Source organism: Homo sapiens, chromosome 17, assembly GCF_000001405.40.
Source record: "Homo sapiens chromosome 17, GRCh38.p14 Primary Assembly".
Classification (NCBI taxonomy): Eukaryota; Metazoa; Chordata; class Mammalia; order Primates; family Hominidae; genus Homo; species Homo sapiens.
The window spans coordinates 8,891,955-8,916,124 of NC_000017.11; the positions used below are offsets into that span (position 1 = coordinate 8,891,955).

The following is a 24,170-nucleotide window of genomic DNA, read 5'->3' on the forward strand; positions in this document are numbered from 1 at the left end:
GGCGCTGATCACTCTGTTTACAGTTAACAACGCACGGCTGTTCTCACTTCCCCCATGCCAACCCCTCCATCACTGCATGACCTCGAAGCAAATTCGAGCCATGGCGGCTTTGTATCCATAAATGCTTTAGTATGAGCTGCATGTGATGAGAGCTCTTGCTCTCTCAATTCCACACTGCGTTTAAACCCAGTGCAAAGGAGCACCACGCAGGGCAGCATTCCCTCCACACTCTGGGGACGTCGGTGCCCGGGGACAGGGCAGAGACAGGACTAGTCTCTGTCAAAGTCCCCATCATTTGGGAAGAAACTCACTTTGATTTCTCTATCTGTAAGAAAAAGGAGGTGGGCTTGTATAAGCAGCCCCTTACAACCTTGTAACGAGCCCAGCCGAGCCCCTGCCCTCACCAGCTTGCATAATTTCTCTCCCGAAGAATTTATCATCATTCTCAATTTACAGATAATGAAAGTGAGACCATCTCCCAACTGTAAGCTCTTTCTACAAATCTCTCGGTGCCTCACTTCCCTTATGTGAAAAATCCCTTTCTCACGGGGTTAACGTGAGGATTAAATGAGTCAGCACATGTAACCATGCTTAGGATGGTGCCTGGAGTCCGAATAAAGGTCTAAAGGGCTTTGATGATTCTTCATCAGCCCACCTGCCCCAGCTCCCCCAGAGGAATCTTATTTACTTACTAAACTACAACATTTTAGCATCCTTTCCCTCTGTCTCAACATCTATCATTTTGTTTGTGTTTGTTTTCACCTAGAGGGAAGTCAAGAAGTGTTGCTCAGGGGAGTGAGTGGGAAGTGAACCCCTGGGGCTGGGAATGAGGAGGGCCGGGGGCCTATAATTTCTGAGGTGGTGAAGGCCGGGGTCCCTGGGCTCCCAACATGTCAAGGTGAGACAGCACCCAACTCTTCAAGGCCTGCAGAGGGTCCTCCTAATGGGCACCCCCTCTCTAGTGCTTTTCAAACTGCAGGTCAGGACACAGGAGTGGGTAATGAAATCATCTGGGGAGCCAAATTTGTTTCTTAAATGAAATAGAATAGAACAGAGCTCATCCTATGTAACCAGGATACATTTCATTTCAGCTGTGTGTGTGTGTGTGTGTGTGTGTGTGTGTGTGTGTGTTTGTGTATCAGGCTGTCATATAAAATGGATTTTTCTTATAGGTCCTGGTCAAAAAAGTTTGGAAACACTGTTTTAGTAACAGACAGAAGGAGATTGTGGAAATATCATGGGCTTCTGAATAAGCCTGAGGGTTAAATTCTGGCTCGTACCCTTGCTCGCTGTGTGACCTTGGGGAAGTTGCTTGACCTCTCTGACCTCCAGTTCCTCATCTGAAAATAATGAAAGTGGGGGAACTGTGTGCCTAACACCTGGCATAATTGATACAGACCTCTTTAAGAATCTGGTGAAAGACCGTCAGCCTAGAAAAACACACCTGGACACAAAATATCACCAGCAGTGCCAGGGGGTTCCCAGTTCCCTGGAAGCCTGTTTGTTGCTGGCTGGGGTGGACAGGGGGTGGGGGCACTGGATGTTTGAGTGGGGGAGGAGGGTGAAGGTGGAACAGTGCAGGGGTCCCAAACTCCCTCCCCACTGTTTCTCCGTCCCCCAAGAGCACTCACACGGTGGAGCTGCGGTGACTCCTGATGGGCAGGCCCTGCTCAGCCCTCACCAGTCTCTGGTAGGAGATCCCTGTGGGTCAAGAAGAAAAGAGTTCATGGGCTGATCAGTTCCTTCAGCATCGTCCGTGTGCCTCGTGGGGAGCCAAGCACTGGACAATCAGGTTGGAAATTCCCGGATGGAGCTCAGGCGAACCTGCAGAGAAGCTGTTCTGTGGACCCTCCAGGGTGCCTAGCAGTTTGCTTCTATGCGTCCTTTTACACCTCACGAGTCATATCCCCACCTCCACCTCCAACACCAAAACTCGGTCCTGGGCCTCGCTGTCCTCTGGATTCCCGTGGCCTCTCTGACTGCCCTCCCTTCCTAAGAGCTTTCCACTCCCCTTGTGGCTCAGGTCCCGGCTCCAGGCTTGGAGGCAGCCTAGCTGGAGAGAAAGAGATCCAGGGTGAGAGCCCGTGTCGGAAGCCTGAGTTCTATTCCAGCTCTTCTGCGTGGCCTTGGCCAGGTCACTTTAGCCCTGGGCCTCAGTTTCTCCTGGGAAGGGCCAGATTAGATCCGTGGCCTCTGAGGCCTTTAACAGTCTATGATTCCCAGGCCCCACCATGGCTTGACCAACTTAAAGTTTCTCTCTTCAGAGACTGGGAGGCGGAGCATCGCAGGAGGCAGAACCTGGGCCCAGGAGGCTGCCCCGTCTTGTGCCGCAGGGCTACTCCTCGGTCCCTGCCGCTGCCCCCTCTCCCGGTCCGGGGTGCCTTCCCGCTATGCCAGGCACCTCTCAGCCCATCCACTTTGCCTTAGCTCCAGCCAGGCAGTGGGTTTCGAGTTTCCCCACCTGCACCTCCCCGTCTCTGCCTGGAGTCCGGGGATCGGGAAGGACTGTGGTCTGGCCTGGCGTCCTCCGTGCTCTGAGGCATCTGCATCCCAGGCTCCTCTCCCAGCCCGCATCCCCTTTCTCCCTGGCCCTTCCCCCTCTCTGTCTCCTCTGACTTCCAAATGCTGAGAAGAAACACACCAAAGGTTTTCCTTTTGTTTCTGCAGCTTGACTCTGTTGTGCACAGTAGTCGCTTTACAGTGTGCATTCAGTTCTGTTTCCACCATGACAAGGAGATGAAACAGAAAGCGGGAGTTCACTCCCTCACAGAGCAGGGGCTGGGGACCCAGCGGGGTGGGTCGCCTTCTTGTCATAGCTTGGAAATAGGCCCAGGGCAGTCCCCATCGAGAGCAGGGCCACTCTGAACTGGGACTGAGCTGGGAACCTGCAGGACGTCCCCTCAGAAGTGCAAGTCTCGGGGGCGGGGTAGGGCGGGGGTTGGGGTTTAAAGACAGCTATAAATAGAAAGGCTGTGAGGTTCCTTTAGTAAAAGGCAGAAAATTACCACATAATGCTCTTCTAACTTGGGACCTAATTGCTTTGATTTTTGGCCTTTTGCGTGATGTTTACTTTATGTAATCATCGCATATTTAGAAGTTAACGTTTGGTCCATTTTGCCAGATAAGTCCTTGACACAGTGGCTATTACATCAGGACTTGGGACACCATCTGGTGGCCACTCACGTGCATTACAGAGAAGAGATCCTCACCCGCTCTCCAACCACCTCTACATAATACCATAGCTACCATAGCGGAGACAAACAGATATTCCCCATCTCCCTGACCATAAAACACATAGATACGCAAAATCTTCTCTTGACCTTATTTCTCTTTTCTTTTACTGTTTAATGCTTTTAACATTAACCCACACCCCGCTGACCCCATTTCTTCACCGCCACTTCTGCCTCTGTTGACCAAGGACATCCAGGCGGTCATACTCCAGGAAGCAGTAGACTCTGACGTCGCTCTCCCTCCACATCAGCTTTCTTCCAACACGCCCAGCCATTGGCTTCCAACCCCTCTGCCCTCCTGACCCTGCTCTCCTGAAGCTTGGCAACATTTTCCCCGTCCCCATACCCAACGGCCCAACCTCATCCTCACGCTGCTTGAACTTTTGTTTTGGAGTGCTTGGTACTGTTGACAACCTTCTCCTTGAAGCTCCTTCGTCTCCTCTTGTCTCTAGGATGAGGAGCAGTCTCTAACATCTATATTCGTGTGCCTTAGTCTCATTTTAGGATTGTGCTACAGTTAGAATCAGAAGCTGCTTCGTATGAGCTACGTGGACTCCACGCGACTGTTGCTCTATGTGTCCCGTTGCTTTAATGGGGGATATTTAGGAGGATACCTGTGCCTCTTGGCACACTCTGACCCAGAGAGAGTGATTTTCAGAGTTGTTTGGCTGGTGCTGAATACCCAAGGTACCAACAGTTCCCAAGCAGAACCTATGATCATCAGATAAACTCCCGCCCTCACCCCCAAAACACCATCAACCCCCTTCCTTGGCCTCTCTTGGTAATGGACCTCCCTGCTTAGCATGGGGTGTGGGGTTTTGGGGTAATTAACTGGTGGGCTGGGGCCTGAGCTGGGAACACATTAGAAAAGACTGTGCAATGTGGAGGAGGCTTTGATAATATAAGCTTTTGTACAGACTGACTCCTTTGAGCCTGGCTTAGAGATTGTACTGCCGAGTCCCCATTTGCTGGTATGTGCTGTGAGGTTGGAAATATCTCCCAGCACCCTCCATGGGCTTGGTTTTCACAATGTTACCTGGTGATGCCAGGGAGGCCATGAATGCTAAGTGGGGTGTGCAATGTCAGTTTCGAGACCACCCTTAACTCCACCCTCCACTCCCCAAACAGGGAGGCTGCACTGGGGAGCCTCAGATCCACAGACACCTCTCTCCCTTTGATCTTAGATCACACCCTTTCTTGGTCACCTTAGCAGATGGAAACAACTTTCTGAGTTTAGCTTCTTAGATCAAGATTGGTGCAAGGGCTAAACAAAAATCTTGCCTGGGTTGTTCCTACGTCAGGCTCTAGCAAGTAAGAAATTGAGAGAAGTCACCCCATACAGGCGAAGAACGGGGTGAGTGGGCAGAACACACTCATAGTGAAGTTCAAACTCCTGGCCCAGGTGTCCAAGGCCCTTCGCCATTAAGCCTTGTTCACCCATCAAAGCTTCCACTCTTTTTCAAAGTTGCAAATAGATGGGGATCCTGCACAGAACAGCAGACTGTGAAGATCCAGGACACAGGAAAATCACTACATCTGCCATCAAGCAAGCACTGGTATTAATGACACACGGATAGACAGGTCCATGCTGAGGGTGATGTGGGTACTTGAGCCTGGGGGAGGCAGGGAGCAACCACATCTGACTCAGTTTCCTCCTACAAGGGGAACACCAAGATTCCACGGAATCAACAGGGTGGAAGCAGAGCCCGGCCCCAACGGCATTGCAATCTCCAAATGAGACTAGATCAGGTTTGGTTCTCCAGCAACTATGATTAATATCAACTCATGGTGGACAGTTTGACCTACCTCATACCCTGAAGCAAACACCAGGCACACCACTCCCCACAGCAGGGTTTCTCTTACACTTCCCTCCTCACTGGGGGTCCCATGTATAGCGCCTTCCTGCTCCCCATCCCCAGGGTCCTGGACTCCAGAGAGGCTGGAGGAATTGGGGACTCATGGCTGTGGGCCTCAGCAGGGCCTGGGCAGGAAGGTGAAGCACGGATTTCAGGTGAATAAACAAAGGAGAAGACATAACAAGGGAGGCTCGGAATCTCTGGCCACCGGGAGTCCAGGAGCAGAGAGGGGGAAGGTGAGAAGGAATGTGGCTAGAAAGCCAAGAGGAAAATACTGGGGGGAAGGAACCCACTGGGCAGGCCTTCATGCAGGCAGAGGAGATGTGAGTTCTTGGAATGAAAGGCCAGTGCCACCACAAGACATATGCTGCTCTGAACAGGTGCAGTGACCCCACGGAAACGCCTGTGGGATGAGGTCTCCAGCTTTGCAGAGCCACCGGGCTTGTGGGGGCGAACTGAGATGAGACCTTTCATAACACCCTTTCACCACCCTGGTGAGAGTCACCCTAACAGGACCAATCCAGGCCTTATGGGCTACTCTTACAAGTAAGTCATATGTGGCAGAGACTTCTAGGCATCTACTCAATATCCATTCCTCGTTTTTTTATGAGTGGGACACTGGGCATTGTACCCAGTTGATGAGTCAATTTCTCAACCTCCCTTGCAGAATGTGTTAGGTGCAACCCCCCTCACCTCCTTCTTTCTGTTAACTGGAATGTGGACATGATGGCCAGCACTCCAGCAGCCATCCTAGACCAAGAAGCAACCTTGAAGATGGTGACTTTTGCCAAGGATGGTGGAGTGGAAAGATGAGGGAAGGCTGGTCCAGGATGTTCATGGGGCCACCATGCCAATGCTGGCCTGCCTTCATACAGATTGTGTGTGTGTATGTGTGTGTGTGTGGTGTGTGTGTCTGTGTGTCTGTGTGTAAAAGAAAAATAGCCCCTGAGAGTTTAAGGCATAGTTGTTTGGGGCTTTCTGCTATAGGCAGCCAGCTCAGTCCTAACTGATCACACCGTGTGGTTTCTGGAACACCTGCCTCTACTCTTTTCCCTAAACCTCCCCCACCTACTAGTCAATGATGTTTGACATCCTTCAAGAGGTCTAACCTTTCATTCCATAACCAGAGACAAAAAGTATAAAATCCAAATGTCTGTGATCAGTAATGTCCCCAGAGAAATGTAACACCACTGAAGAACATTCTGAATTCACCTGCCACCCGCTGATAAGCAAAACTGACCTAACCCAGGTTTGTTCCCCATTTGATAGGAAGTCAAAGGGTATGAAGCCATATTAAGCAACCCAAAGGGAAAGGGGCAGGAGAAATTCCCCAAGGGGGAGAGCGTTTATAAAAAGACAGCCTGGGCAACCCAGGGTCATGCAGCCATCTGTCAGTGCCTCTTGGTAGAAACACAGCTTTATGCAAATGTGAAAAGGATGGGATATGACTTTTGGTATCAAAGAGATATGGGTTCAAGTGGTAGAGCTCTTGTCAGCTATGTGACCTGGGGCAAGTTACATAAATGTCGAGCCTTCAGTTTCAGCATCTGAAAAATGGGAATAATAGTAACTACCCAGGGAGGTGTTCTGAGGGTTAGATGGGACCAACCTATGACGGTGCTTCATATGCCATAAGCAACCCTGGCATCATTGCTGTCCTCCTCGTCATCATCATCAACGATAATTATAATCCTGCTTTTGACCAGGAGGCTCAGAGAGTCTAAGGAACTTGTCCAAGGTCATTAACTAATAAGTGACGAAGTGTAGGTCTCTGTCATACAAGGGTTCGTGTTCCCTCTTTCATACTTCACTTTGTAGCTTAAACAAGAAATACTGAACTTGGTCTTCTCAAAATCATTTCCCATTTTATAATGAGAAGAATATGACTTTTCCTTCTTCCCCTACAGGCAAGGTGCAATCCTTGAGGTCTGTGTGCTTTGAAAATTGCAGAGCGGTTTGCATGTAAGATGCCCCATGTCATCCCCCAGGTTTACAGGTAAATTCTTTGCAGGAAAGTATTGTGGTCGGCACAGCTATGCAGGCATAGAGTAAATATTCAATAAACATGTGGGCTGAGCCCAAGAGGGCTGTGGTGGGCAGGACCCAGTGGCACTGACGTGAGGTTTCCTGCTACCTCCAGAATTGAGGCACTGGGCGATCATACGGGGGTGGAGTCAGGAAGCAGGGGGAGGCCCCCAGCCTTGATAACAGGCCCACTTCCTCTGCCACCCAGCCACATCAAAGCAGGATAAACTGTTTCATTCATTTCCATGGCAACTGGGTCCCTAAGACTTCACGGGGGGAGGGCCCACCTCCCCACGTCCCTTCTCATTTCTCCCTGTGACTTTACCAGGACCTACCTTCTAAGCTAACACCACTGCAACCCTTACTGCCCCCAGCACTGTGAAATCAATTAGGCCAACATTAATCCTCACTAACTGCATTGACAGGGAGGCATTGCTATACACCCATTTTACAGATGAGGAAACGGAAGCTCACAAGCTAAACGTCTTGCTGAAGGCCCACAGTTAGTAAGTAGCAGACCCAGTATTTGCAAGTACAATGGTCTGGTCCCAAGGACTAGAAGCCACTAAGTTATTCAGCCTCTCCTTCAAGCATTCAAGTTCCCTGGCCTCCATCCTAGCTCTTTCTCCACTTAACTGGGGGTGGGAGGGACTCAGGAATTGGGCAGCAGGCCTGTTGAAAATCATAGGAAAGGCTGGGCGCGGTGGCTCATGCTTGTAATCCCAGCACTTTGGGAGGCCGAGGTGGGCGGCTCACAAGGTTAGGAGTTCGAGACCAGCCTGGCCAATATGGTGAAACCCCGTCTCTACTAAAAATACAAAAATTAGCCAGGCATGGTGGTGCACGCCTGTAGTCCCAGCTACTCGGGAAGCTGAGGCAGAAGAATCGCTTGAACCCAGGAGGCAGAGGTTGCAGTGAGCCGAGGTCGTGCCACTGCATTCCAGCCTGGGTGACAGAGCGAGATTCCATCTTAAAAAAAAAAAAATCGTGCGAAAGTATTTTTCAACAAGCTCATTTAAGGGTCATGTAGAAGGTAATTTTGTTTAACTATCTGTCATTAATTAGGGCTTAGGTTCTTTAAAATTGAAGGTTAACTGGTGGATGTGAGATAAGTTGCAAGAGATTTTTGTTCAATAGAAAAGATAACCTCAAAGGTTATGGTTTTATTCCCCTCTGTGATGTTAACTATTTGGTATCTAACTTTGAGTCTTACTCTAGCTTCCATGAGGAGCTCATCTCAGTTTCTTGGATCCTCCTTTAAGCCAGCTCTATCATCGTGCTGGTTTCCTCATTAATGAGCGGGCACAGGCTCACTGTATATTTACGTATGTGTGAGGTTTTGGAACTGTTTGAAAATGATTCCCCGAAACGAGGGAGAGTTGATGGTTTCCTATTTTGGTTCTGCTTTCCCTGGAAGAGGAGAGGTTCCTGCCATGGGTACTTGGCTTGAGCTGCCCTCTTGGGGCATCTGACTTCTCCTTGGTCACCAGGATATCTGAAGCTTCACATGGTCCCGGGAAGGATGTGGAGGAAAAGGCCATCAGCAGTGAGTGATGGTTCCAAGAGTCCCCCCTGCTCTGAGGCCAAAGGACCCTCATTCTACTTCCGGCTCCAGCTGCTGCCCTGCCTGGCCCTTGTGCTGCAGGCTTCACATGTTATCATTCCAGGGCCAGGGCCTCACCACCGCCAGCACCTCCGTGGCACATCTGCTTTCTGTGCTGCCCAGAACGGAGTTTCTACCCAGCCGCCTGCAAAAATATCTCAAGGCATAGCGTGCATTGAGCTGAGGAGGGACAGCCGGTTCTACTTGAAACTGGGAAGTGGTCTCCCCACAGGTAATCCCCTCCCCCAACCCCACAACTCTCTTATCCTTTTCAAAATAAAAAAGAATCATTTCGGTCTTTGGTGGAAACCCAACGCCCTGCCAAGACATTTGCATTTTAAATTCTTTCTCTGAGCGTACTCGAAAGGAAGAAAGGCATTGCCTCCTAGCAAAGGAACTTCAGTCACCAACCAGAAGCTCAGAAGGCATTCTGATCTGTTTGTTTTGGGGGACAGTGGGAGGGAGTGTGGGAGGGAATGAAGGAGTTTGACCTTAAACTGGCGTGTTCCTTTAGGGTTTGTTCCTTTAACTGGTTTGTTCCTTTCCTTGGGAAGCTGGGTTGGCAAACCCAGCTTTTACCTTTCAGAGTCCAGCGCCTCCTAAGGGTCTTCCTGATGTCCTAAATCTCCACCCAAGTCTCTACCATGAGGTGAGGACCTTGTTATAGGTAGACTTGGGGGTTGGCCATCCCTAGCTGTACTTGCTCTGCTCTTTGTAATGACAGACAGCTGACTGATGGGGGGGCAGGTAGATCAGCTGATTGGGCGAGGCACAGACAGGTCAGCTGACTGGGTGGGGCGCAGACAGATCAGGTAACTGGTTGGGTAGGAAAGTTATGAACACTTCCAAAGAAATTTACAAGCCAGTCTTGAGCTTTCTAGGGTCCATAAGTTGTTGGGGAATAAGATTTGGTACTTCTGTTCTGTGTGTGTTTAATGTGTAAGGTGAGAATTAAACGCTGCCAGTACTAAACAGGACCTGGTGCATGTATACATTAGAAAGAGAGAAAACAAAAATGGGATTATAACATACTTAGTATTGGGGGGACTGCTTTTTCGCTCAACTAGTTATTCAACATCTTTTGAGCTCAGTAACTATTTCTACAATATCATTTTTAATAATTGAATATCATTCCACCAAATGACTTTGCCGCAGTATACTCAACCATGTTCAATATTTAGGTTTTTTGGCATTGGTTGATTATTAGCAAGGATGCGTTGATGAACGTCTTTGTTTTGTAGCTACATCTTTGTACATCCATAGGGATTCATCAGGATAAAATTGAGGAATGGAATTGCTGGGTGAAAGGGTATGCTTTCTGATGCTTTAGCAAACACAGCCCCCCATTCCTCACCAGCGCTGGCATTTTTGTTCTTTCTTTTTAATTTTTGCCAATTTGATAGGGGGGGAAGAAGAGTCTTGCTCTTTAGTTTTGCATTTTCTTTATGAGTAGTGAGGGTGAATATTTTGGGGGGTTCTTTTTGATGTACTTGAATCATATTTATTCATATTTCCATAAGTGTATTTGCCTATTTCTTAATGGACTAAAAAAAAAACCTCTTCATGGGTTTGATATATTAATTTTTTTTTTTTTTTTTTTTTTTTTTAGATGGAGTCTCGCTTTGTCTGCAGGCTGGAGTGCAATGGCACGATCTTGACTCACTGCAACCTCTGCCTCCCAGGTTCAAGCGATTCTCTGCCTCAGCCTCCCGAGTAGCTGGGACTACAGGTGTATGCCACCACGCCCAAATAATTTTTGTATTTTTAGTAGAGACGGGTTTCACCATGTTGGCCAGGATGGTCTCGATCTCCAGACCTCATGATCTGCCCACCTCGGCCTCCCAAAATGCTGGGATTACAGGTCTGAGCCACAGCACTTGGCCTGATATATTAATTTTTATTGCAAATATTTTTCTCAGTTTGTCATTTACCTTTCACTCAAAGTGGGCTTGCCATATGAAAAGCTTTAAATTTTATGCTTTCATATCTGTTAGTCTTTTCCTTTATAATTTTTGCCCTGGGGAATATGTTTGGCAGCTCTTCTCCACTCCAGGCTAATACAACCTATTTTTCTTCTGTAGTTTTTGTGGTCTTGTCTTCTACACCTAAACCTTTAATGTATCTAAAAGTTATTTTTATGTTTGCATTAGAACTCTTAATTTTATTTTTTAGATAGAATTTTTTTTTTTTTTTGAGACAGAGTTTCGCTCTTGTTGCCCAGGCTGGAGTGCAATGGTGTGATCTCGGAGGCACTTGAACCTCCACCTCCTGGGTTCAAGTGATTCTCCTGCCTCAGCCTCCTGAGTAGCTGGGATTACAGGCTCATGCCACCACACTCAGCTAATTTTCTATTTTTAGTAGAGATGGGGTTTCACCATATTGGTCAGGCTGGTCTCGAACTCCTGACCTCAGGTGATCTGCCCGCCTTGGCGTCCCAAAGTGCTGGGATTACAGGCATGAGCCACCACACCTGGCCTTTTTAGATAGTCTTCTAACTCAATATTTTTTATGGTCTACCAATTATCCTGATATCATCTATGAAATGACTGATTTTTTCATCAGTAATTTGAGGATGCCACTTTGTCATATAATATAATTTTGTATATTTAATATATTTCTAGATATTACATCTTCTTCCATTATCTATCTATTCTTATACCCATAGTGTACTATTTTAATAACTATAGCCCTATAGTACCTTCAAAAAATGGAAATATTTCCTTCTTACTCTCCTTTAAAAATACATGAATGAATATATACTAAGTGCATAAATAAATCTTTCAAATAGATTTTTTTATTTTCTTTATATATAAATTTATTTATTTGTAAAATATTTATATATTATGTTTTTTAGTTTACATATATTTTATAAATTTTAAAAATATCTTGGTATTTTGATTGTGGTTACGTTTACTTTCCTAACACCTGGTCTCGTTACAATATTGATTCAACCCAGCAATACGATTCTTCAATTATTCATTCTTCAGCAAAGTTTGTTTTCTCTATATAGGTTATTAAAATTTCTTTTATTTTTTATTTTTAATTGCTATTGTAAATTTTTTAAAATTATGTTTTCTCACTGGTTAATGCTGGTTTATAAAAAAAGCTCTTAGCTACCTGTTTTCTAGTTCTGACAATTCTTTGTTCAGGGGATTCTCTCAGTCTCGACAGAAAACCAATTGTTTGAGCTCCAACTAATTAAAATTTCTCTTCTTCAGAAGAGAAAGTATTCTTTATTTTTGTCTTTTTGCATAGGCAAATACCTATAAGCCAAAAGAGGAAGATTATTGGCTCTAAAGAACATGCCTCTAGTATTTTACCTTGGGCTGTTGCCATATTAAAAGCACTTCTAGAGTAATCGTTTCCATATATTGAGGGGTTTTGAATATCAGGAATGATGATGAATTTTATGAAATATTTTAGAGGCATCTATTGAGATGCTTTTGCGAATTTATTCCTTTGAGTACTGATTCGCTGAGCCGCTTCTCAGTAAATCACACTTGCTAAGTTTTCTCCTGCACTACTGTAGCTTCCTTAGACCTGATTTGCATGTCTATGACAGCACCTGCAATTTCTGAAGAATTCTTACTTTTCAGACCCCACACATGAAAACTGAGTCCCGGGTCTTGTCCACATTTGTCACAGTGGTCATTGTTCCTAGTACCAGCCACCTTCCCCAACCCAAACTGCATCAACCCACACACACAATTACCTACTTGTTCCTGGGGCACAGAGAACATGCAAAGCCCTCTTGTCAGCATCCTGGGGGCTTCTCTGTCTGATCTGGGTAGCCTTGGAGACCCCTTGACTAACCAGATCAGAGGCACAGGCCAAGGTGGGGTCTCCTTGCCCTGAGTGCCTGCTCCTACTTCCCCTAACAATCCCTCCTCGAGTTACCTCCCATATTTACTTTCATCTTGTGTGGATTCAACCATCAGATGCTTGATGGTGCTGTGAAGAGGAGACTCCATGTTTGTGAACCAAGGCGTTGGCAGAGATGAATCAAAGGATGCAAGGTAAGGAGGGTCACAAAAAACAGTTTCAGAGGAGTTGGAAGCATTCTGACCTTCTGAGCCCTGTCCCCCGTGCCAGCTGCCTCAGTGCTTACCTGGGGCCTTGAGTTCAGCATCAATGAAGGTGAGCAGCTCCTGGCAGATGCTGCAGTAAGGAACAGGCCAGGTCAGGAACCGGTGGTAGGTGCTGGCTGCCTTCAGAAGGAGATCCGAGTCTGGTGGGAAGTGTGGTGTCTAGGATGGAGGCAGGCAACAAGCAAAGAGATCTAGGTGAGAAAAGGCTCAGATAGTCCCAGACAGCTTCTGCTCCCTTTCTGGAATATTCCACAAAAGACACACATTTCCTGGCCGCAGCGTGTCCCAGGACAAGGTCAGGTGGAACTGGAAGTTACTCACAGGGAGTGGGTTACAGATGGGCAAGATGGCACCCAGGGTGTCTCTACTGGGAGGGACTTGCTTTACCCAATGCTTGAGTGAGCCTCTCTGAAAGGCTGTCCCCTTACTGGTAAATGGTGCCATTGCTGACACTTGTTATGGATAATGGTCTTCAATGCCTAAACCACCTTTACTTAAATAGCCTCATTACAGGTAAATGTTTATTTTTTGAGGATGGATTCAGTCAGTGTACACATTTGATGCCCCCCTGTCTGGTGAATACAGGGGGTGATCACATTGGGTGAAACCGACTACTGGGGTGAAAAATGAGGTGGACATAGAATATCTCTTGTGGCCTGTGAACAGACAGTGACAGCAGTTCCAACATGGGAGCCCAGAGATGCCAGGCACCATGGCGGCCACATGGAGTCACCAGAAGCCTCTCATGGTGGCTGCTCTGAAGCCATCTAAGGGTTGAAACCCATTTCACATGCCGCTGCTTGACAGTTTCTCTCTCTGCTTATCTCCAGAGGTGTGAGGGCTCTGCCCCAGATAGAGGTCGCTCCTCCCCCTCCTCCCTCACCTCCAGCATCCTGGCCCACGTGGACTTACACAAAGAACAGTGGAATAGAAGAGCAGGGCCAGCGGGGTGAGCAGGTCGTAGGTGCCCTTCTCCTGGACCTGTGGAGAGGAGGAGAAGGGGAATGAGCCTCATTCACGGGGTCCAGGGCTCCCTGAGGCAGAATACAGTGGTTCTTCCTCATTCTAGCCTTTCTTTTTTTTTTTTTTTTAGGGGAAAATAGTGCAATCACATGACAAACATTTGGAAAATGGATGTAAACGAAAACACTTACAATTTCCCCTCCCAAACCCAACCACAGCTGTTTCAATGTCCCTCTTCTGATGCCATTTTTGCCCTATGTATTTTCTTTTCTTTGTTTTTAAATTTTATTTTAAGTTCTGGGATACATGTGCAGAACGGGCAGGTTTGTTACATAGGTATACATGTGCCATGGTGGTTTGCTGCACCCATCAACCTGTCATCTAGGTTTTAAGCCCCACATGCATTAGGTATTTGTCCTAATGCTCTCCCTCCCCTTGTCCCCCATCCCCGACAGGCCCCGGTGTGTGATGTCCCCTCCCTGTGTCCATGTGTTCTCATTGTTCAAATCCCACTTATGAGTGAGAACATGCGGTGTTTGGTTTTCTGTTCCTGTGTCTGCGAAGCTATAAGCTGTGTGTATATTTTTACTCCTAACGTATTTTACATATAGTATTATAAGTAAATTTCTGTTTTACTATACGGTCTCTAAGACCACCTTTTTTCCCTTCTGGTTATACATTTACCTGTTATTTGTGTTATAAATATTTTTTTCCAGTTGGTTGTTTGCCTTTTAATTTTATAAATATTTTTGATGTACAGAAATTACAGGTGTTGATTTTTCCTTCATGGATTTTTGCTTTTGCATGCAAGGATCATGTAAATATTCATATATACTTTCTTATCTTCTTTGAAGCTTCGTTTTCTGAAATTGAAATATTTAGTCTGGGCCCAGTGGCTCATGCTTGTAATCTCAACACTTTGGGAGGCCGAGGCAGGTGGATCACTTGAGGCCAGGAGTTCGAGACCAGCCTGACCAACATGGCAAAACCCCATCTGTACTAAAAATACAAAAATTAGCTGGGCACAGTGGCGCACACCTGTAATCCCAACTACTCGGGAGGCTGAGACTCTGTCTCCAAAAAAAAAGGAGAAATATTTAGTGCAACTAGAATTTCACCTGCTATATGGTGTCAGTTGGGGATCTCACTCTATCTTTTTCCAAATGTTTAGTCAATTTTCCCTAAGCCATTTAATAAATCTTATGATGTAATTGTATCATATATTAAATTTTATTTATGCCCTTGGATAATATCCATCATTTTTAGCTGCATTATACTCCTTCTGGTAGACCTCCATAACTTATTAGTTTCTTTTTCTTTTTTGAGATGGAGTCTCGCTCTGTCGCCAGGCTGGAGTGCAGTGGTGCAATATCGGCTCACTGCAACCTCCGCCTCCTGGGTTCAACCAATTCTTGTGCCTCAGCCTCCCAAGTAGGTGGGATTACAAGCACGTGCCACCATACCCAGCTAATTTTTGTATTTTTTTTTTTTTTAGTAGAGATGGGGTCTCACCATGTTGGCCAGGATGGTCTTGATCTCCAGACCTCATGATCCGCCCGCCTTGGCTTCCCAAAGTGCTGGGATTACAGGCGTGAGCCACCATGCCTGGCATCTTATTAGTTTCATTGTGGACATTCAAGATTATTTTCTTGGTATTTTACATATTTTGCAATGAACACTACTATGCAGCACATTCCTTTTTCCATAATTTGGATTATTAATCTAGAAAGGAGTTCAAGAAGTGGAGTCAACAGATCAAAGATTATCAACATGTTTATAGACTTTTATGACCTTTGAGACATATTGTCATATTGCTTTCCAAAAGGATTTTGCCATTTATACTATCTATATATATAAAAGTACGATTTTCACCATGCTTTTCCTGCATTGGTTTTTATCTTTTTTTAACAAAAAAAAAAAAAAAGAGAGAGAGAGAGAGAAATAGGGTCTTGCTCTGTCGCACAGGCTGGAGTGCAGTGGCACGATCTTGGCTCACTGCAGCCTTGACCTCCTGGGCTCAAGCAATCCTGCCTCAGCCTCCCAAGTAGCTGAGATTACAGGTGTGCACCACCACAACTGGCTAGTTTTTGTATTTTTTTGTAGAGACGAGGTCTTGCTATGTTGCCCAGGCTGGTCTTGAACTCCTGGGCTCAAGGATTTCTCCCACCTGAGTCTCTCAAAGTGCTTAGATTACAGGCACAAGCCACTGTACCTGGCCTTACCTTTTGTTTTTTAGCTAATTTGTTAGGCAAAGTTTGTCTCATTATGGTTTTAATTTGCATTTATTTTAGTATCGCTTTTTCATATTTGTTTACAACTTCTATTTCTCCTTTTGTGAACTGCCTCTCTGATACAACCTACCACACCACATGCACACATGTGCACACCACATGATTTAGAATTCATTGGTCAGAAGGTTTCTCGGTCCATTTTGGAACTCATGGGGGTTGGAGATACAGAGAAAGCCCCATCATGTCTTCTCTGCTAGATGAGCCCAGTAGGCTCAAATTTAGAATCTTCCTTCTCTTTATCCTTAATAGACAATGTGTCTACCAAGCCTTGCAGATCAGACCTTTCTATGAAACCCTCCTCTTTTGCTACACGGTGATCCAGACTTTCCATTTGGGTTTATATGTTATGCGCTCCAGAGGTGGTTCAGCTCTTCTGAGCTGGTTGGCTTATGATGAAGGAAAAAACTACCAGGTAAATAGTGGGGCCAGAACTGTAACCTTGGGCATCTTCTTACAGGGATAGGTAGCCGAGAGTGAAAGTGACATGTTTTCCAAATCACATGTATTTAAAATAATTAAAACACACACACACACACACACACACACACACACACACACACACAACCATAAAAGAGAATTCTTTACAAAAGAGCCCAAATCCTCTTTTGGGACTCACAGCTATTCTGGAACCCAAGCCCAGCTCAGCACTAAACCCATTCCTCTTCTTTGTCATGAAGCCATTGACTGAACTAAGAGAGGAGGCCTCAGTTTACCTTTCCGATCAGTTTTCTCTTTCCTGTCTTTGTTTTTATGGATCTTTTTGAGGAAAGGAATTGGGTAAAGTGTCTTCTCCCTTCCTAGTCTATATCTGGACTTATAAGCCATGTCTGTAGCTGAACTCAGGACCCTAGCTCGCGTATGATGTGTTCTTACTGAATGCACCCCCTTCTTAGAAACCTCTCATATGCAAGTGCTACCGAAACACAAAACTCACAGGTTCCCAGGGCCTTTGCCCAGCCCCTCTGGAGGTCCAGGCACCCAGGAATGATGTTCTCTGGGACCTATTTCTCCACTCTACGAGGCCGACCCCAGATCTGCCCTTCAATTCCTGACTCCCCCTCACCTCTCGGGTCTTCTGCAGGATCTGCTCAAGGAGGATAAGGAAGTGGCCCGGGTCCCTGCTGACCAGCTCCTGCAGGCTCCAGCAGTTCAGACACAGCCCAGCTGGAAAAGGAGAGAGAGGCAAGGGGTCAGTTCTGGTGTCTTCCAGTCACACTCAGGCAGGGGCTGTAAAGAAGGGGCATTTATGCTGGAACATTTTTCTGTGGTATTGCACTGGAACACTCTTTTTTTTTTTTGAGACAGAGTCTTGCTCTGTCGCCAGGCTGGAGTGCAGTGGTGCGATCTCAGCTCACTGCAACCTCTGCCTCCCGGGTTCAAGCGATTCCCCTGCCTCAGCCTCCCAAGTAGCTGGGATTACAGGCACGTGCCACCGCACCCAGCTAATTTTTGTATTTTAGTAGAGATGGGGTTTCACCATGTTGGCCAAGATGGTCTCGATCTCCTGACCTCGTGATCCGCCCGCCTCGGACTCCCAAAGTGCTGGGATTATAGGCGTGAGCCACTGCACCCGGCCTGGAACACTCCTTTCTAAAGTAAGTGAATCTAGGAGAAGATGCTGGATCAACACTCAACCCTACCATGCCCCATCAAGACATAATGACAAATTCCCTGTTCCTGCATATGCAAGAGACACAGGGATTGGAGATGCAGGCTGGGAAGCCCTTTAGAGGACAATGAGCTCACTATGACTCCGCTCCCTGTGGAAGCACCAGTTCTCCCACAACCTCTCCTGCCCTGGTTTCCTACAGTGGGTTCTGGTACCTATGAGTTGCAGGGAGGTTAGAACAGAGGCAGAAATTGCTGGAAGAATACAGAGAGGAGCCACGGTGAGTTCCATCCCAAGACGCAAGACTGAGTCTACAGCAGCCATGGAGCTTCCCAGGAATGGCAATGGAGCCCAGGAAGGGGAAGCTAAACGAGTTCTATTTTAAAAGCTGCCATGAGCACTTTGTCACTCTGTAACTTCCCCAGACTTTCTTATTTTGTCAGTCTCTGTTTCCCTGCAGTCAGCAAGGGTAAACCCCTAAAAATTAAAGCGACAGCCTGGGGCAGAGGAGCAGGGAGGGGCTGTGTGTATGTGTGTGTGGAGTGGGGAGTGAGAGCCGCAGGAGTGGAAATGGATTGAACTTGAACTTCGTGGAGCTCAAGCTCCAGGACCTCTCACGTGTACAGGCTCCTTCCAAAGTTCTAGAGGCTTCTAACAATGTGTCCATGTGGTCACAGGTTGTCAGAAAATTTGCAAAGGTCAGATATTTTTATATTCTTTTGCTTAACGATAGCCCTCTCCCCAGCCCTATGAGCTTAGCCTCCATCAAAACCTGGGTAGCAGGCAAGAAAGAAAACTACCATTTATTGACCACCTACTATGTGCCAATACAGTGCTAGGCCTCTGAATACATTATCTTCATTGAGGATCCCACTGTCCCTTCAGAAAAGTGGTTCCATTGTTATTATTCCCATTTTGCAGACAAGGCAAGTAGAGCCAGGGTCCTGGGAGGATAAGTGGCCTGCGCAGGGTTGTAAAGCCAATGGGAGATAGCTTTAATCCAGGTCTGTCTCATTCCAAAGGCCAAGGACAGCCTCTCAGAGGAAGCGACATTTGAGCTGAGACCTGGATGAGAAGGAGCCAGCTATGTGTACTTCCCAGGGAAGAGTTCCAGGCAGCAGGTGCAAAGGTGCTGAGGTACGGAGGGACCAGGTATGTTCAAGGAGCACTGGGTGGCTACTCACGGAGAAGTTAGGGAGGCCAGTGAGATATGGGGCATGAGAAAGCTCTACAAGCATAAGAATTATTACAGCCAGGCGCCAGCCTTCAGAGACGCAACTGCCCGGGACTGCGGACACCCTGTTTTTTAGTCCTGGGAGGTGGGAAACATAGAGGCCTCCTGCTCTCTGCAGCTCTGCTGAGTTTTCCCTTATTCTATAGGGAAGAGGAGGATAGGACTATGAGGGAACTAGAAACAAACAAACAGGAGAATTCTGGGGAGAGCTGCCTGTGAATTCCCAGCTGCTTTTTCAGAATCAGCAGTTGTGGTTTTCTAAGCAGATTCGATGGATTCTTCCAGAAGTAAAAGGCAGCCAGCCCTGAGTAGGATGAGGAAGATGCCGTGGGAGAAGGGAGAAAGTGCCAGACACTGAGGTCTGACTACATCAAGTGCTGCGCCAGGCACCTGCCCAGGAGAAGGCTGAGGCTTGCCCAAGTCACACAGACAGGGTTTCACCTAGAATTTGCCAGTTTCCATGCCTGGTCCAGTGCCCACCGTGGCCCCTGAGGCTTCCTTGAGCCCTCAAACACCTCCCCGGCTCCCTTGGACCGACCTGACCAGGAGGTGGAGCGGCGGCTGAGGCTGAGTCCATGCAGGCAGCGTTCCAGGGCATGCTGGATGCGGTCCTCCGTGCATGTCGTGGCCCCTGGCTGCATCCTGGGTCATCGCCTGCATGGGGGACAGACGCCGGTCAGCTTGTCGAGCTCCTTTCCCAGAGAGCACCTGGTCCAGTAAAGACAACAGGTGCTCACAGTGCAGCGCGATCAGCCCAGCCCAGCTATAGCTCAGGTGCTGTGGAAACAGGACCAGGGGCCTTACAGCTGCCTCCAGGGTAGGAATGGCATCTGGAGGGCCACATCTGAGTGGCAGGACAGAGCACCCCTGCAGCAGAACGGGACAGAGGTGTGGGAAGTAAGGGGTCAGGAATGGGAGCAGAGAGGTGGAAAGGGCACTGGGCAGTGGGAAGTGTCGCCAAGTACCCAGGGAGTGGTCAGACCCCAGTGGGCTGGGCAGGAAGATCCTGAGGGGAAAATCAGAATCACTCGGAGGACTTTTTCTGAATTTCCAGGCTGTGTTTTCCAAACCTCCAGGGATGGGGCAGAGAGCGTGTTCCTGATGACAAGGCCACAGCAACTCCCTCAATATGCTTGGAGGGAGCTCCCTCTGATTGGGTGCCCAGGTCACAGGCATCTGTTTCCTTTCTGCCCTAACCTCCACTTTTGCCATTTTTCTTTCCTTCCCCTGGGGCTTGGCAATGTTACCTGTCATTCAAAGACCTTCCCTGCCCTCCTTCCTCATCCTACTGAGGAGAATCCAAGGGGTGCTTAGCTGAGCTGGAAAGTCACTGAAGAGGGAATTTCAGGAGGGTTTTAGCCCCGTATGGGGAACTGAGAGCCCCCAGCAGGGCCAGCCCAGCTTCTTAGTTATGTATGAGGGCTCCTGGGTCTCTGGGGAAGCCACGGAAGGTGATTTGGCCCAGTGATTAAGCTTGGCTCTGGCATCCGACGGACTTACACTCAAACCTGGACTCTGATATTTGCTAGCCATGTGACTTTGGGCAAATACTTTAACTTTTCCAAACTTCTGTTGACTTATCTGTAAAATGGGATGACAATGGTGCTAACCTCATGGGGCTCTTGGGAAGATAAAATGCTGTAGCAGATGCGCTGAGTAAGCTTCCAACACGCGAGAGCTGCCCTGCTACAGTCATTGCCATCATCGCCCTGGCCTCAGGGGATGCCACTGCACTCACTCCTTCCGGGCAGACCCCTTCACTGGCCAGTCAGGCCAGGCCATAGAGGGATGCTGAGAAAGCTGCAGTTCAGCTCTGGAAGCCAGAAGAGGAAGCACAGAGCTCAGAGCTGAGCCATGCAGATGACATACAAAGAGGGATAAAATCCTAACCTGGGTTCAGCTGCGCGGCTAGAGTATTCAGCTTACGGAGGCCCCACACAGGCAAATCCTCCTGCCTCCCCAGCCTGGGAGGCACCACTCGCCAAGTGAAAACTAAGCCCTTTGTGAGCTCTCCAGCATCCTTTCACAGTGTCTGTGGTAGGCTATGCATTCCAAAGCCGGACAGTGCAGCAGTGGGCACGCAGGAAGCGGCACACGCACCTTGGTTCCATCACGGGTTCACTGACTGTCTGCCATGTGCCAGGCACTAGAGGAGACTAGAGGAGACAGCAGTGAACCAAGCAGCTGTGCTCCTTGGTGGGAGACACAGACACTGAGCAATGGAGCAAACAAAGACGTGATTCCAAGAAGTGAAACATGCTGTAAAGGATGGTGCTGGGAGTGGGACAAGTGGGGACCCCCCTCCAGGGTGTTGGGGGGTCAGGGAGGCCTCTCTGAAGAAGGGACATTTAAGCTGGATGAGGAAGCCAGGGCAAATGAGGGGGAAGAGTATTGGAGAAAGGGGAGCCAGCCCATGCCACAGTCTGGGTGCAGGAATTAGCTTGCTGAGAACCTGGACCCAGGAGTATATGCCAGGGCGCCGGGCTGGCCCAGGACAAAGACTAACCCATTAGGTCCCATGCCTTCTGGCTGTGGAGGTGAAGAGCTGAGTTCAGAAAACTTTTCACGGGTGGCTGGGTGCGGTGGCTCATGCCCGTAATCCCAGCACTTTGGGAGGCCAAGGTGGGCGGATCACTTGAGGTCAGGATTTCGAATCCAGCCTGGCCAACATCTTGAAACCCCATCTCTACTAAAAAATATTTTAAAACATTAGCCAGGCGTGGTGGCAGGCACCTGTAATCCCAGTTACCCGGGAGGCTGAGGCAGGAGACTCGCTTGAACCCGGGAGGCGGAGGTTGCAGTAAGTCGAGATCACACCGCTGCACCCCAGCCTGGGTGACAGAGCGAGATTCCATCTCAAAAAGAAAACAAAAAGAAGAAAACCTTTCATTGGTGACTCAAGACCTTGGGTGTGTCCATTAGCAGCACCTGGATGCCCAAAGACATCCTGAGGCCCTTCCATGTGACTTTTACAGTTGCCTTTGGATCTTCTGTTTAACACCTCCACAGGTAGCTCAGGTCGTGAGTCCACTGACCCTGAGCCAGACCGGGCAGACCCCTCCCTGACCTGGGATTGTGCTGGCACCTGGCATGGATGAGCATCTGTGGGGACTGACACCTGTGATGAGGCCTCATCTTTCTGCCTCCCATGGCAGCCCGACCACAAGACCCTCTGGAGGTGGGTCCTATTCCAGCTCAGGGCTAACGGCACCTGCTGGAGGAGGTAGAACACCAGACACCTTCACATGGATGAGCCTGGGGCATGAACAGCTGGCCCAGATGTGACAGCGACCCTTTGTTCTCACAGGCTGATTTCTCCCAGGTTACCCCCAGAGCAGGTTCTTGGAGGGAGCTCAGAGGCCTCCCCAGCAAGTCCCTCATTTTACAGAAGGGGAGGCTGAGGTCCAGGAAGGATAAGGGACTTGTTCGAGGCAGCTGGGAGAGAGTTGACACTGGTATAAACAGACAAGGGGATCAGGGAGGACTTTTTATTTTCAAATTGTGGCTGAGACCCAATTCTAGGGACAAAAGTTGCTAAATCCTCTGCATTCTAAAGTTCTAAGAGCCACGGAGTATTGTCAAGGACGTGGGCGCAGCCACTCTGGTGGGCTTGCTGGGAGGTGTCAGTCCAGAACCAGCACAGTGACCCGCCAATCCCTGTCATAAGATTGGGAAGAGAAAAAGGGTTGTCAGCCCATCTGGAAGATCCTTCCTTCTCTCCGCAAAGCTGAGGGCAGAGGGCTTTCAGAGAAGTCCTGACACAGACTGGGATGCCCAAAGCTGAGGATGCTGCCCTTTGTTCCTCGGGTCACTATCTACTCAGCCGGCAAACTCGCTCGCCTGCTCCGGTGCTGCCTGTGAGCCATGGCAGGGCTGAGACAAGGGGCAGAGGGGGCATCTTGCAGACCCACTGTTGGACAAGTCAGCAGCTCCAGATTGGGGTGAGGGGTGGAACAAACGTGGGGCCTGAGCCGGTTTGTTGTTACTTTTCTAGAGGGCTGCCAGCAGCATGAGGGAAACCTATCAGAAGGAGGCTGAAGGCTGGACCAATTTTGTAGGAAGCTGGATGGGGCAGGTTAAAGATGGGAAATTGGTGGCACAGAGAGGTTAAACAGCTTGCCTAAAGTCACACAGCTAGGAGATGGCAAAGCCAGGGTATAAACCCAGGGGGTCTGGGGTTTCAACCACTAGAATACATTGCCCCTCAGCACAGTCGGAGGCAGTTACTGGAAGAAAATTAAAACCAATTCATGTTTCTACTTCAACAAGTGAAGACTTGATTTTGCTTTAAGAGGTAGGCTAGGCATGTCTGTAATCCCAGCAATTTGGGAGGCTGAGGCGGGTGGATCACCTGAGGTCAGGAGTTTGAGACCAGCCTGGCCAACATGGGGAAACCCTGTCTCTACTAAAAATACAAAAAATTAGCTGGGTGTGGTGGTGCACACCTGTAATCACAGCTACTCGGGAGGCTGAGGCATGAGAATGGCTTGAACCCGGGAGGTGGAGGTTGCGGTGAGCCAAGATCATGCCAGCCTGGGTGACAGAGCAAGACTCTGTCTCAAAAAAAAAAAAAAAAGAAAATCTAGACTCTCAGTTGCTGGGGATTGTGAGCCCCACCACATCTATCTACACCAGCTGCCCCGCACAGCCCTGCATCCTCCAGAGAAAAGGCCAAGGCTCACAGGAGTGTGTGCCAGAGGGGATACCGAGCAACACTCTCTCGGACTCCACCGGTGATGACCGTGGTGGCTCACGGGGCCCAGGCGTCTCTAGCCTGGAGCATGTCCTGAACCGTGTGATCTGGGTTTTAAGACCCCTCTGCCCAGCCCCTGCTGCGATGGCCAAGCTGGTTATGCCATGAAGCAGGAGTGAGTCATCCTGCTCACTCATTACGTGTCCCACACTGTAATGGATGCAAACACAAGATGCAAATGAATGTTCTCAGCCAACACCACTTCTGCACACTCCTGTCCTTAAGGGGGCAGAACACAGTGCCATAGGACTGCTGCTAGCACACCGCACCCAATGCCTGACTGCCCATGGCTTCTCTTTCTCATTCTGGGGCCGCCTGTGACTTTCCCATCTCCTGGCCTCGGTGTGCCCCTTCCCCCCAACCCCACCCTGCTCAAGGGACACATCAAAGCCTTCTCCACGGAAGGGCAGGATATCCTCAGGCACTGGTGGAATTCTGGTGTGCCAGCCTCCCCGGCATTCCAAGGCTTTCTCGAGCTCGCCCCAAGTTCTTCTCAGAGGCAGGACTTGCCTGAGCCA

General features: G+C 48.5%; 1 protein-coding gene and 2 long non-coding RNA genes across 16 annotated transcripts in view, besides 5 other annotated features; 2 read left to right on the plus strand and 1 right to left on the minus strand.

Annotated features, from left to right (window-relative positions):
* The window catches only part of PIK3R5 (phosphoinositide-3-kinase regulatory subunit 5), an 86,792-nt gene that overhangs the window by 13,039 nt on the left and 49,583 nt on the right, over positions 1 to 24,170 (minus strand). For 9 of the 14 annotated variants that reach the window (NM_001251855.2, NM_001388400.1, NM_001251853.2 and 6 more), the window contains exons 2-6: positions 19,438 to 19,553; positions 17,120 to 17,220; positions 13,715 to 13,783; positions 12,823 to 12,961; positions 1,632 to 1,701 (exon numbers count right to left, since the gene is read on the minus strand). Coding sequence is in view for 6 of the 14 variants with exons in the window: in NM_001388396.1 (NP_001375325.1) it covers positions 1,632 to 1,701; positions 12,823 to 12,961; positions 13,715 to 13,783; positions 17,120 to 17,220; positions 19,438 to 19,540 (482 nt within the window). In the remaining 8 variants the exon portion in view is untranslated. Of the gene's footprint in view, positions 1 to 1,631; positions 1,702 to 12,822; positions 12,962 to 13,714; positions 13,784 to 14,449; positions 14,629 to 17,119; positions 17,221 to 19,437; positions 19,554 to 20,509; positions 20,564 to 20,789; positions 21,394 to 24,170 lie in introns of those variants that run through there. The other 5 variants (NM_001388399.1, XM_047435709.1, NM_014308.4 and 2 more) reach the window with 5 other exon arrangements.
* Positions 371 to 480: an enhancer, noted in NCBI's record as "active region_11713". NCBI's record gives its function as "activates an Ori minimal core promoter by ATAC-STARR-seq in GM12878 lymphoblastoid cells {active_cell/tissue: GM12878}" and the evidence as "EXISTENCE:reporter gene assay evidence [ECO:0000049][PMID:35858748]".
* Positions 2,907 to 2,976: an enhancer, noted in NCBI's record as "active region_11714". NCBI's record gives its function as "activates an Ori minimal core promoter by ATAC-STARR-seq in GM12878 lymphoblastoid cells {active_cell/tissue: GM12878}" and the evidence as "EXISTENCE:reporter gene assay evidence [ECO:0000049][PMID:35858748]".
* Positions 2,987 to 3,186: an enhancer, noted in NCBI's record as "active region_11715". NCBI's record gives its function as "activates an Ori minimal core promoter by ATAC-STARR-seq in GM12878 lymphoblastoid cells {active_cell/tissue: GM12878}" and the evidence as "EXISTENCE:reporter gene assay evidence [ECO:0000049][PMID:35858748]".
* Positions 5,232 to 7,060, plus strand: LOC124903920 (uncharacterized). Its single transcript, XR_007065611.1, has 3 exons — positions 5,232 to 5,322; positions 5,467 to 5,632; positions 6,994 to 7,060. It is a non-coding gene; the product is annotated as an uncharacterized LOC124903920 (long non-coding RNA).
* Positions 8,717 to 8,836: an enhancer, noted in NCBI's record as "active region_11716". NCBI's record gives its function as "activates an Ori minimal core promoter by ATAC-STARR-seq in GM12878 lymphoblastoid cells {active_cell/tissue: GM12878}" and the evidence as "EXISTENCE:reporter gene assay evidence [ECO:0000049][PMID:35858748]".
* LOC124903921 (uncharacterized) lies at positions 8,843 to 10,362 on the plus strand. Its single transcript, XR_007065612.1, has 3 exons — positions 8,843 to 8,946; positions 9,269 to 9,363; positions 10,324 to 10,362. It is a non-coding gene; the product is annotated as an uncharacterized LOC124903921 (long non-coding RNA).
* Positions 23,890 to 23,939: a silencer, noted in NCBI's record as "silent region_8188". NCBI's record gives its function as "represses an Ori minimal core promoter by ATAC-STARR-seq in GM12878 lymphoblastoid cells {active_cell/tissue: GM12878}" and the evidence as "EXISTENCE:reporter gene assay evidence [ECO:0000049][PMID:35858748]".